Consider the following 12,694-nt stretch of genomic DNA (forward strand, 5'->3'; position numbering starts at 1 on the left):
TTTGTTTATTTGTACATTGATGTTTCCCCTCTTTTTTATCCCAATGGTAGCATTATCTGAACACGGTCCTGCACATGCTTTCAAGCTTTTCACACCATGAGAATTTCTTTTTGAGCCAATTTATCTGCAACACAAAAAATTATTATTTTGAACTTAAATAGTACTGCATAGTTTAATTACCCCCTCATTTTTGCCAGATTAACTTTGTTTCATTTTTGTGTTTTGGAAAATATGGAAACAGTAAAAAAGCAGGAATCAACTGTCATCCCATAATTGGAAAACAATCACTATGAACAGTTGTGTGTCTCCAGGCTCTTCAGCGTTATATTTTTGTACTTTTTAAACAAAAATAGGTTACTATAATCTTCATACAACGTGCCTTTCAAACTAGATATCAAAAATGCTGTATGTTTTTCCTTATTATTTGTAATGTCTGTTATTTCACTGAATGGCTGTGCTGTGGTTCATTTAACTTATCCCCCGTGGTTGGAAGGACGTTGATAATTTTTACTTCTTAAAATAACACCAAGAATAACATCCTTGTAGGGAAATTCTTGCACACAGTTGTTTCCCTAGGATAATACCTAGAAAGGGAAATAACAGATTAAAGAGTTTGCACGTTGTAAAGGTTTTTGATGCATATTAGTTAGCAAACTGCTCACCAGGAAGGTCATATAAATACACGTCTCCACCTGGAGTGTGGACACTGCCCCTTTCACCACATCCTTGCCAACACTGGCTATTGTCACCTTCTGGAAGTAATGAAAACAAAACATGAATGTTTTCAGAGGACAAGTGTCTACATCTTGAGAGTATTTGTTTATAAGAATAAAGTGGGCCAGGCGTGGTGGCTCATGCCTGTAATCCCAGCAGTTTGGGAGGCCAAGATGGGCGGATCACCTGAGGTCGAGTTTGAGGCCAGCCTGGCCAACATGATGAAACCCCATCTCTGCTAAAAATACAAAAATTAGCTGGGCATGGTGGCACACGCCTGTAATCCCAGCTACTTGGGAGGCTGAAACAGGAGAATCGCTGGAACCCAGGAGGCAGAGGTTGTGGTGAGCCAAGATTGCGCTGTTGCACTTCAGTCTGGGCAACAGAGCAAGACTCCATCTTACCAAAAAAAAAAAAAAAGAAAAAAGAAAAGAAAAAAAGAATAAAGTGTATCCTTTGAAATCAATTCCAGAAAAGTGGTCTTAGGTGATGGCAGTCTGTTCAATTCCACGTTTACCTCCCAGTGAGGGAGGTGTCTGCCCTGAGTTTTGAGAAGTGGCAAAGTATGCCCCACTATGGTGACTTATTTTAAAACAGGCATTGCTCCTTTAGCTACATAGGTTCTGGAATATTGAGGAATTTGTTCATTAATTTATAGTCACACTTTATAGTATACGCATTATAAAAATAGCTTTAAATTGCATGTACATCTATAGTGGGTTTTTTTGTTTTTGTTTTTGTTTTTTGAGACAGAATCTCGCTTTTTTGCCCAGGCTGGAGTGTAGTGGCGCGATCGCGGCTCACTGCAAGCTCCGCCTCCCGGGTTCATGCCATTCTCCTGCCTCAGCCTCCCGAGTAGCTGGGACTACAGGCGCCCGCCACCACGCCTGGCTAATTTTTTGTATTTTTAGTAGAGATGGGGTTTCACCGTGTTAGCCAGGATGGTCTCGATCTCCTGACCTCGTGAACTGCCCGCCTCGGCCTCCCAAAGTGCTGGGATTACAGGCGTGAGCCACCGCGCCCGGCTGTAGTGGTTTTAACTAAAGGAATTATTGCATTTCTTCAGGTCACTTGTTGAGCATGTCTCTTATTTATGACAAGATGAGTTAAAATCCATTAGAACTAGAAGAACAGGTGCTTTTTGAAAATACATTCCTAATGGCCCAGCGTCTTCATAGGAAATCTGTTGTCTGCAGAGCCATCTTCCTAGAGCTTCCCTCATCAGTGCTGGAGGACCAGGTGGCCAGTTTCAAGTAGATTTCTCTGAAACCCAATAAGGAGCTGTTTTGTGGACTATCTAGTTTTTAATGCTTTGGGAAACTTTTAAAAAATTTCACTATCTTATCTCAGATGGCAGGTAAATAGTAATTTCCAGACAAATGCAATTTGGGCTTTACAATTCTATTATAAAGCCACTTTGAAATATATTTTAGGACAAGCCCAAGCAATAAGCATCTTATTTTGGGTCCTTTTCTAATTTCCCATCAACAGCCTAAGTTTTCTAGCAGAGGCTTATTCCACACTTACATAATTAGAAAGTCTTGGAGCCCCCGACTTAGAGCTGTCAGAGTTTCAGCCCAAGCTATAAAGCACCAGCCTCTGCCACGCACCGGCTCTTCTAGCTTTCCAGTGCCAGTGTGCTCCCGATAGGCCGGTTCACCACTTGCCAATGAGAATTGTTTGGAGCAAAGCATTTTTTATTTGAATTTCCTAGATGTTTTGAGGAAAAACCGTAGTTGGACATTCAGACAGAATAGAAAGAACACCAGACATTGGGTTTGAGCCCCTGATTCTGCTACTCTGTTGTGTGACCTTGGACAAATCATTTGATCATCATTTCCTTTAGTCCAAATTGGGGGACTAAAAATAATGTCTGCCACATGGGCCTGTCACGGCAATAAGTGAATAAATGATCTGTGTCAGAGTACTTGGTTATCTATGAAGTATTATTCAAATTTACTCTTCTTATTACCAAGATTTGAAGCCATTTGTATGTAGATTATTTTTACTGGCCGGGCACTGTGGCTTACCCCTATAATCCTAGCACTCTGTGAGGCCAAAGTGAGCGAATTGCTTGAGTCCAGGAGTTTCAGACTAGCCTAGGCAACATGGTAAAACCCCGTCTCTACAAAAAATACAAAAATTTGCTGGGTGTGGTGGCGCACACCAGTAGTCCCAGCTACTCAGGAGGCTGAGGAGGGAGGATTGCTTGAGCCTACAAGGTCGAGGCTGCAGTAAGTTATGATTGTGCCACTGCATTCCAGCCTGGGCGACAGAAAAAAAAAATTTTTTTACCTTCAGATACTACTTCACATACCCCAAGAAGTTCCCTAAGTTGGGAAATGTATAAGTTCATTTATCCTTAGTATTTAGCTGTGTACATTTAGAGGGAAGTATCTATGTGTGTGCGTAGGTTTTGCATATTTTATGTAAATGTCGTATGCATGCTGTAATCTAGGTTTGGAAGTCCTAATTTTAACCTCTGTCAAAACACAAGAGTGTGTAATAGATGAAATAGAAGGTAGAGCAAGGGAGAAGGAAAAGCCAAGGATGAGATAAGGAGGCAGTGGTACTATCTGCAGAACTCTGGGCACAAGATGGTCAGTGACTCTGCTAAAGGTTGCTCTTCAAAAACTCATCCAGGCAGTCCTGACCAGTCTTAAACTCTCAAAGAATCTGCCTGACTCGATGTGAATGAACTGACTGCTATTCCAAAAGACTGGGGCTATAAGTCTCCTGTATAGTTGTAAACTTATATTACAAATGTAAAATGGCTCTTGAGTGCTAAGTGTCGTAGGGATATGTATGACTGTATATTTCATTGACATCCCAGTCAACAATTGACTGCATAGATGACAGTGGTCTCATGAGATTATAATACTGTATTTTTACTGTACCTTTTCTGGGTTTAGATATGTTTAGATACACCAATACTTACCATTGTGTTACCCTGGCCTACAGTATTCAGTACCGGAGCATGCTGTACAGGTTTGTAGCCTAGGAGCAATAGGGTGTACGATACAGCCTAGGTCTGTAGTAGGCTAAACCATCTAGGTTTGTGTTATGTTCACACAAGGACTAAAATCACCTAATGACGAATTTCTTAGAATGTGTCCCCGTCATAGCAACGTGTGACTGCACCTAACAAGATTCATATTTGCAGGCATTCAAAAGTGCGGCAGAAGAGTGAGGTGGACATTGTTGTTAGCGAAGACTTGAATGGAACGGTGAAGTTTTCAAGCTCTTTACCCTACCCCAATAATCTTAACAGGTAAGGCACAGCGGCATTACACGAATACATATCTTTCTTGCTTTTTTTAGAAATACAAGTCTTGGCTGGCCGTGGTGGCTCACACCTGTAATCCTAACAGTTTGGGAGGCTGAGGCAGGTGGATCACCTGAGGTCAGGAGTTCAAGACCAGCCTGGCCAACATGGTGAAACCCCGTCTCTACTAAAAATGCAAAAATTAGCCAGGAGTGGTAGCACGCACCTGTAATCCCAGCTACTCAGGAGGCTAAGGCAGGAGAATCACTTGAACCCGGGAGGCAAAGGTTGCAGTGAGCTGAGATCGTGCCACTGTACTGCAGCCTGGGAGACAGAGTGAGACTCCATCTCAAAAAAAAAAAAAAAGAAAAAAGAAATTCAAGTCTGAAGTGACATCTGATAACTTTTAAACAGGCTATCAGGATATCGTCCTGTGACTAAGAAATTAACATAGTCCTTCTTAATCTTAAATCTGGAATGGGTTTTCCTCCCTTATCTCCCTAGAAATCATCTCTTTTCTAAGTTCACATAACAATTTATCTATACCTCTTATTACCCTTAATAGCCTCTACCTTGTATCACATTCGGTTTTGCATAGGGTTTATCTCTGATTCAACAGCAGTCCTTTTAAGGGTAGGGAATTATACCTTATTTCTCTTTCCACCCCTCATGTGGCCCAATTCTGTGTCACAGTCAACAAATAAATCTTTGTCATTTGAATGGCATTACAATCCAGTCTCAGAGCCAGAATCTAAACAATTAATAATATTGTATAATTGTACAGAATTGGGTAACAGTGCAAAAGAAAGCTACAAGGCAGTCACACATAATTGAGTGACATGGATAATGATTACCATATTTAGAGGGTGGAAGAGATGATTGGATGGATTAGTGCTATATGGAATGACGTGGGATAAGCTAGAACTTTTTGGAAGGGTCTAGACAGATGTACAGGACATGGATAGATGAAGAGAAAGGAGGAAGGAAATTCTAAGGGGAAAGATTGAGGTGAGCAAGGCACGTTTGGGAGGTGGTGAGTAGCTGTGTTGGCCTCAGGGAAGGGTTTGAGTGCTCACAGGAGGCAGGCTCTGCAGGGCCAGGGGAAGGAGTTTGGAGTTTGTCATGTGAACCGCTATATCTGGCAGCATGGGATCTAGATTCTGTAGGGGTCACCTAAGCTAGGATGTGCCTATAAAGTGTATTTTTAAAACCTCATGGGTTATTCTTTTTCCCCTTCTTTCTTCCTTTCTTTTTAAGACAGAGTCTCCCTCTTGTCACCCAGGCTAGAGTGCAGTGTGGCACAGTCTTGGCTCACTGCAATCTCTGCCTCCCAAGTTCAAGGGATTCTCCCGTCTCAGCCTCCCGAGTAGCTGGGATTACAGGTGTGCATCACCACGCCTGGCTAATTTTTGTGTTTTTAGTAGAGATGGGGTTTCACCATGTTGGCCAGGCTGGTCTCAAACTCCTGACCTCAAGTGATCCACCTGCTTTGGCCTCCCCAAAGTGTGGGATTACAGGCATGAGCCACTGTGCCCGGCTCTCATGGGTCATTCTTATGCAGCCATTTGGAGGTCAGCAATCTCTGATTTGGGGGTATTTTAGAATTCAGGAGAGAGGTGTGAACACCTGAATAATTGATTGGAAATGTTTATACTGTTTCTGATAAACCCATTTTCATTTTCAATCACCGTCTACTGGCTGCCGTCTGTGTGTATACTGGGAGACGCACACTGTAGCCCAACATTGGCTGGAAGTGTCTCCTCACACACTATGCTCCTCTCCACAGTGTCCTGGCTGAGCGACTGGAGAAGTGGCTGCAACTGATGCTGATGTGGCACCCCCGACAGAGGGGCACGGATCCCACGTATGGGCCCAATGGCTGCTTCAAGGCCCTGGATGACATCTTAAACTTAAAGGTGAGTGTGGAGCCAAGTTAGCCCTGAGGCAAAAGCTGGGGTCCCCAGTGGAACATGCAGTTCTTAGGACAGAGCAGGGGATGGGGCCAGCTGACCTAGTGAGGAAATTTAGGCTCCTGCATCAGTCTTTCTGCATAAGTAAAGAAAGGACAGTTGTGCTAATTGACATTGGCTATGAGGTCATAGCCACAGACAGGATTATGAAAGATGCAAATATGCGAAACATGGCACATGACCTCCCTCCCTCAAGCTAGGCCCTTGCTTTGTGTGGTTGGGAAATGTTGGGAGTAGCAGAGAGAGGACCTAGGCAAATAGATGGGCATTTCCTTGAAGAAATCGGTTTTCCAGTAACATCTGGGTTGTGTTGCAGCTGGTTCATATCTTGAACATGGTCACGGGCACCATCCACACCTACCCTGTGACAGAGGATGAGAGTCTGCAGAGCTTGAAGGCCAGAATCCAACAGGACACGGGCATCCCAGAGGAGGACCAGGAGCTGCTGCAGGAAGCGGGCCTGGCGTTGATCCCCGATAAGCCTGCCACTCAGTGTATTTCAGACGGCAAGGTGAGCCCTGGCTTCGTACACACCATCCTGTTTACCTTGGCTGTGCCTCCTGGGAAACTCAACACACTTTCAGATTTCAATTCTGCTTTGTCATGTAGTCTGTTAATCACACAGTGCGGATACCTGGCTGGTTTTTAAGTTGGAGTATGGTGTCCTCTGTGTGGCCTGATAGGAAACACAAATCTCCTTGCTGGACTTGTTACTTCCAAACCCTCCAAGACCGGTCTCTTGCCTTTATTGCAAAAAATGATGCTATAACACTCGAATCTCTCAAGTTGCCTGCTTGGCCCTCTTCCAAGTGTACTAAAAAAAAAAAAAAAAAGGATGCTGCACTTTCTTGAGTCAACTGAAAGTATTTATGATGGCCTCTGTGTACAGAACTGGGTTAGGCACCTGTGTTAACTATAGCTGTGTAAGACATGACCTCTGCTCAAAAAGACCTTCTCAGCTGACTTGTGGAGCTAAAGTTATCATATGAGAAATAATCATTGCATAGGGAAGTATATAGTGAATTTCTGAACTTCCCAGGGAAGACAGAGAGTAAAATAGAATGTAATACGTTTGTAAATAAAGAGTGTGTTCAGACAGTAAGTGTGGCTGGAAACGTTAAACACTTCATGGATGCTTCCTACTTGCTGGCTGAAGATGATGCTCTTGCTGAACAGTGGGGAAAGCTGTGGAACTTCTTCATTATCAGTTAGAAAAGAGAGGGTTGGATCCACAAGATTCATTTTGTCCTTGTCCCTTTGCAGTTAAATGAGGGCCACACATTGGACATGGATCTTGTTTTTCTCTTTGACAACAGTAAAATCACCTATGAGACTCAGATCTCCCCACGGCCCCAACCTGAAAGTGTCAGCTGTATCCGTAAGAATTTGTTATGTTTTGTTTTTCTAAATAATCCGTTATAATATGTGGGACAAGGCAGGGAAGGGAGACTGGACTAAGGAAGGGGGAGCCACGTAAAGGAAATTAATATCGCCAGTCCTCAGGGCAGCCTTCCTTATTTAGGACATGCAAGGAGTAGCCAGGCAAGAGAGAGTACAGGAAACCATTAGTTAATTTCAACCTCCTAGGACGGGCGTGGTGGCTCACACCTGTAATCCCAGCACTTTGGGAGGCTGAGGCAGGAGGATCACTTGAGCCCAGGAGTTCAAGACCAGCCTGGGTAATATAGTAAGCTCGCAAGTCTACTAAAAATTTAGAAATTAGCCAGATGTGGTGGTGCATGCCTGTAGTCCAGCTATTCAGGAGGCTGAGGCAGAAGGATCACTTGAGCCTGAGAGTTCAAGGCTGCAGTGAGTCATGATCACCCCCACTGCATGCCAGCCTGGGTGACAAGAGCGAGACCTTGTCTCAAAAAAAAAAAAAAAATTCTGTTGAAAATATATGGCCCTATATACATATGTGTCCAATGGTTCGTAAAGTGTTCCTTCAAATCAACAGCTACTTATTGACCACTGGTACATGCTGTTGGTACAAATACATGTATGTGACAGTAACCAGGCATAACACCCTCCAAAGTTACATGATCCTATAGTAGGTACAAAACGTGAAAGTGCCAGTAGTGTCGAAGGCAGGATATGGTTAATTGTAGGAGAGTTATTGTGGTTATTCTTTGACAATTGCTTGTGTCTCTGTCTCCAGTTCAAGAGCCCAAGAGGAATCTCGCCTTCTTCCAGCTGAGGAAGGTGTGGGGCCAGGTCTGGCACAGCATCCAGACCCTGAAGGAAGATTGCAACCGGCTGCAGCAGGGACAGCGAGCCGCCATGTAGCGTGCCAGGCTTTTTTTTTAAACTTAATTTATTTAAAATTCCTTGGTGGCTTTGGCCACAGGGAGGTGGTTGAGGCAGGGACCCAGAAGCAACCGTTATGAGCAACAAAAGGAAGACACTGGTTTGGATGGACGGGAAGCGGTTGGGTGGGCTGGACTGACGGAGGCCCCTTTAGACCTGGCGAGGTGAGTGTGGTTGGCACAGGGTGAGGAGTGTGGAACTGAAGCTGGGCTGGCCAAGCTGTGGCTGGTTTGGGAACCCAGAGGAGCTCACTACCATGTGGATTAGCAAAACTCCCCTGACCGTGCTGCTGGGGACTTACGGACTCTTTCCTCATTGTGACTCGTTTGCCAACATTATTGGCCTTTTGTGTCTTCCTTTGCCTGATGTCAAGTTTAGTGCAGAACCTCAGGCATTGCTGAGGGCTAGGAAATTGTCCTTGGGTTATAAGTGGCTGCTATAATAATAGTGATGATGATAATAATTATAGCAGGGACCTCCCTTGACATTTGAGGGGGTTTTGTTATTGTACAGGAAATGGAATTTGGATCCCAGAGATGCTCCAAGACTGTTCCTTGTGGTCCCTGCAGGATGAATCTCCTCCGAAACAACAGCTGCCTCTCCAAAATGAAGAATTCCATGGCTTCCATGTCTCAGCAGCTCAAGGCCAAGTTGGATTTCTTCAAAACCAGCATCCAGATTGACCTGGAGAAGTACAGCGAGCAAACCGAGTTTGGGATCAGTGAGTGTGCACTTTGCAATGAGTTTAAAGACACCATTTTTTTTTCTTTTTCTCTTTCTAAGGTTTCTTTTGTCCTATTATAATTGAGTTGCTTATTTCTGTTTCAGTTTTGTGGTGTTTTTATTTTGTTTTGTTTTGTTTTTCCTTCTCAATTTTTTTTCAGCATCAGATAAACTGCTGCTGGCCTGGAGGGAAATGGAGCAGGCTGTGGAGCTCTGTGGGCGGGTAGGAGACTCATTTTGGGTTTCGGAACTTACCAAGGGGGTGAGATTTTGTGCTCCCACTTTTCACTTTCTCATCAAACACTGGGTCGATCTCTGTCAAAAATCAGGTGTTCCTCACCATGCTTTGAGCTTAACTGGACCAGCTGAAAAGAGGCCAAGAGAGTAGCCAGTGAAGGGAGCCCCTCTGTGGCCAGATGCAAGAGCTGCATGAATGGACAGAGATGGTCCAGGTTTAAATAAGAAGCAAGGGTTAGGTTCCCTTGGGGAAAAGCCAAGACCATTTCCTGTTAGGAAGGGCATTGGATGGATGATCAACACTCCCTCTTGTCGAAGGTTTTTGACTAATTTTGTTGGGATGCTAAATCCATAGGAAATAAAAGGTCTAGGCAGAAAGTCTCAGGGCAGCGTAAATCAGATGTCACCAAAAAAAGTTAATTATGAAGGCAAAGGAAATACATGTGACTTAATGAACCTCACACAAACTGAAGGTTGAAGTCAGGCTCCGGGGCTTTTTCCTGGACTTATCCTCTGTTTTCCCCTGTGTACTTGGGCAAGGATCTTCACCTGTGTCTTAGTATCGATTTTTATGAATCAGTACTGATGGAGTATATGTGTGTTTAATGGTGAATATTAACCATAGAAGGGCTGAGTGCTCCTCCCCATCTTGGGACTCATAATCTGTGAAATAAAACAGTCTGGGCCTCCCTGCCCGGGTAGCATCAGGATAGACAGATGAAGAGAAGAGAAAGTAATGTGTCTTGGGCATCTTCTGTATGCCAGGCACCATGCCAGAGGCTTTAAGTACTTCATCTTACTTGACTCCTCAGATGGCCCTGTTAGAAGCCTATTTTATGCAAAAGGAAACTGTAGCTGGGGGTAAGTAACTTGCCAAGGGGTCACACAGCTAGAAAGCGGTGGACCCTAGATGCAGGCGCAGCCATTCAGACCCCACAGTCCACATTCCTTTGAGCCAGTCCATTGAGGGTCCTCAGGGAATGTGGCGGGTCCCCTGGTCTCGCTCCCCCGCAGATCTTGCATCTCAGCATGCGCCTACCACATCAGTTGACATTAGCACAGCTTTTCCATTAGGAGAACGAAGTGAAACTCCTGGTAGAACGGATGATGGCTCTGCAGACCGACATTGTGGACTTACAGAGGAGCCCCATGGGCCGGAAGCAGGGGGGAACGCTGGACGACCTGTGAGTACTGGCTGGGGGGCCCCTCTGTGCCCAGCACACACAGACAGCCCTGGAGCTTCGGTGTGTGTGTCAAGGGCACCCTCAGTGGCTGTGCGGGACCATTCTCTAGAGCATGCTTCCCTGTGGGGTCACTTCCAGCAAATCATCACTGAGCTTCAGTTTCCAAATCTGTTCAGTGACAAGAAAAACAGTCTTAAGTCACGAAGTTGTAAGGATGAATTCAGATAATGCATTTGAGACGCAGGCCATAATCTGTAAAGGCTGTAAAATGCAAGCAGCCTCTACCCCTGTAGCAGACTCCCCTGATTTGTTCCACCCACCCTGACTCAGGCATAGCTCAGAGCAGAAAGTAAAACAGAGAAGGAAGAACCTGATGAGGCTTAGGAGTTTGGACCTGGAAACTATTCGTTTGAGTCTTTGTCAGGTATTTGGCATTGGCTCCATGAGGGGCGGAGGGGTCTAGGCAGATCACTCCTACCTGAAGGAGATCACATGTGCTCCTGGCGTACAGATGGAGGGAACCAGGCAGGCCGCTTGAGGGCTGTGTCACCGTGAGCTCAGCAGTGTTCCCTGATTCTCTCACTAGGATTCTTAGGACAGGAGCTCCAAATGTCAGAACTTTGATTCTGTATTTTCTCTAATTAACCCTTTATTCTCCTCTAGTTCTTTTATTTGTATTTGTATTATTTTTTTAAGAGACAGGGTCTTGCCCTGTTGCCAATGCTGGAGTGCAGTGGCACAATCATAGCTCACTGCAGCCTCGACCTCCCAGGCTTATGCAGTCCTCCCATCTCAGCCTCCCAAGTAACCGGGACTACAGGCGCATGCCACCATGCTCAGCTAATTTAAAAAAAAAATGTTTTTGGCTGGGCACAGTGGATCACATCTGTAATCCCAGCACCTTGGGATGCCAAGGCAAGAAGATTGCTTGTGAGCCCAGAAGTTCGAGACCAGCCTGGGCAACATGGTGAAACTCTACCTCTACCAAAAAAATGTAAAAATTAGCCATATTTGACCTCAAGTCTAGACAGAACTTCTTTGTATATTTTAGAGAGGAGCAAGCAAGGGAGCTGTACAGGAGACTAAGGGAAAAACCTCGAGGTAAGTGGGGTTCTGTGTCTGCCTTGGGCTTCTCCTTATCTCATTTATGGGGCATCACTACTCTCTGCTGGCTTCCTTGAGGAACTATGCTACCCTCCCTCTCTCCAGACCAGCGAACTGAGGGTGACAGTCAGGAAATGGTACGGCTGCTGCTTCAGGCAATTCAGAGCTTCGAGAAGAAAGTGCGAGTGATCTATACGCAGCTCAGGTATGAGCCCCGACCTTCCTGCTCTGGAGGAAGGACTGGGAGATGCAGGTATGAGGTCACCTTCCTCCCTCCTCTCTGATTCGCTGGACCTCATGAAGAGAGTTTCTGCAGCTGCTGACTGGATGCACAGCTGCCACAGGTTCTGCTTTCTCCAGCCCAAATGCCATTAGTTTGCCATGTTTATTCTTTGCAGTAAAACTGTGGTTTGCAAGCAGAAGGCGCTGGAACTGTTGCCCAAGGTGGAAGAGGTGGTGAGCTTAATGAATGAGGATGAGAAGACTGTTGTCCGGCTGCAGGAGAAGCGGCAGAAGGAGCTCTGGAATCTCCTGAAGATTGCTTGTGTGAGTGAGTGCTGTGGTCCCGGGCCCTTGGCCTAGCAGCCTCCTGTGCCTTTCCACCTCTGTGCACTGCCGCCATCCCACACGGGACACCACAGAGCCACCAGCAGCCCACTCAGCTGCTGCTCGGGCTTCACGTCGCTGTTCTTTGACTTGGTGTAAGCGGGGAGGTCAGAGGAAGGGCCTGTGCTAATTGTTTTCATTCATCTGTGTATTACTTTCGTGTGGCTACTGTAAAGATTAGCACAAACTGAGGGGCTAAAACAACAGAAATTTGGGCTAGGCATGGTGACTCATGCCTGTAACGCCAGCAATTTGGGGAGGCTGAGGTGGGAGGATTGCTTGAGCCCAGGAGTTCAAGACTGCAGTGAGCTGTGATCATGCCACTGCACTCCAACCTGGGCAGCAGAGCTGTCTCTACTAAAAACAAAAACAAACGTGTTATCTGAGCTCTAGAGCCCAGGAGTTGAAAGTCCCGTGTCAGCAGGGCTGAGCTCCCTCTGAGGGCTCTTGGGGAGGGACTGTCCTTGCTTCTTCCAGCTCCTGGTGGTTCCAGGCGTTCTTTGGTGTGTGACTCCAGTCTCTGTCTCTGTCTTCATGGGACCCCTGTGTCCCTTATCTGGGTGACTCTTACAAGAACACTTGTC

General features: G+C 45.5%; 1 protein-coding gene across 16 annotated transcripts in view, besides 2 other annotated features; it reads left to right on the forward strand.

Annotated features, from left to right (window-relative positions):
* The window catches only part of IKBKB (inhibitor of nuclear factor kappa B kinase subunit beta), a 61,159-nt gene that overhangs the window by 39,143 nt on the left and 9,322 nt on the right, over positions 1 to 12,694 (forward strand). For 13 of the 16 annotated variants that reach the window (NR_033818.2, NM_001556.3, NM_001242778.2 and 10 more), the window contains 11 exons: positions 3,878 to 3,985; positions 5,766 to 5,895; positions 6,266 to 6,460; positions 7,213 to 7,327; positions 8,108 to 8,231; positions 8,826 to 8,977; positions 9,141 to 9,202; positions 10,291 to 10,400; positions 11,452 to 11,501; positions 11,610 to 11,709; positions 11,903 to 12,050. Coding sequence is in view for 13 of the 16 variants with exons in the window: in NM_001556.3 (NP_001547.1) it covers positions 3,878 to 3,985; positions 5,766 to 5,895; positions 6,266 to 6,460; positions 7,213 to 7,327; positions 8,108 to 8,231; positions 8,826 to 8,977; positions 9,141 to 9,202; positions 10,291 to 10,400; positions 11,452 to 11,501; positions 11,610 to 11,709; positions 11,903 to 12,050 (1,294 nt within the window). In the remaining 3 variants the exon portion in view is untranslated. Of the gene's footprint in view, positions 1 to 3,877; positions 3,986 to 5,765; positions 5,896 to 6,265; positions 6,461 to 7,212; positions 7,328 to 8,107; positions 8,232 to 8,825; positions 8,978 to 9,140; positions 9,203 to 10,290; positions 10,401 to 11,451; positions 11,502 to 11,609; positions 11,710 to 11,902; positions 12,051 to 12,694 lie in introns of those variants that run through there. The other 3 variants (NR_040009.2, NR_033819.2, XM_047421764.1) reach the window with 3 other exon arrangements.
* Positions 11,493 to 11,994: an enhancer, noted in NCBI's record as "H3K27ac hESC enhancer chr8:42179455-42179956 (GRCh37/hg19 assembly coordinates)". NCBI's record gives its function as "activates a minimal SCP1, AML or CMV promoter by ChIP-STARR-seq in naive and primed H9 embryonic stem cells {active_cell/tissue: H9 hESC(naive and primed)}" and the evidence as "EXISTENCE:reporter gene assay evidence [ECO:0000049][PMID:30033119]".
* Positions 11,995 to 12,494: an enhancer, noted in NCBI's record as "H3K27ac hESC enhancer chr8:42179957-42180456 (GRCh37/hg19 assembly coordinates)". NCBI's record gives its function as "activates a minimal SCP1, AML or CMV promoter by ChIP-STARR-seq in naive and primed H9 embryonic stem cells {active_cell/tissue: H9 hESC(naive and primed)}" and the evidence as "EXISTENCE:reporter gene assay evidence [ECO:0000049][PMID:30033119]".

This window comes from Homo sapiens, chromosome 8 (assembly GCF_000001405.40).
Source record: "Homo sapiens chromosome 8, GRCh38.p14 Primary Assembly".
Classification (NCBI taxonomy): domain Eukaryota; kingdom Metazoa; phylum Chordata; class Mammalia; order Primates; family Hominidae; genus Homo; species Homo sapiens.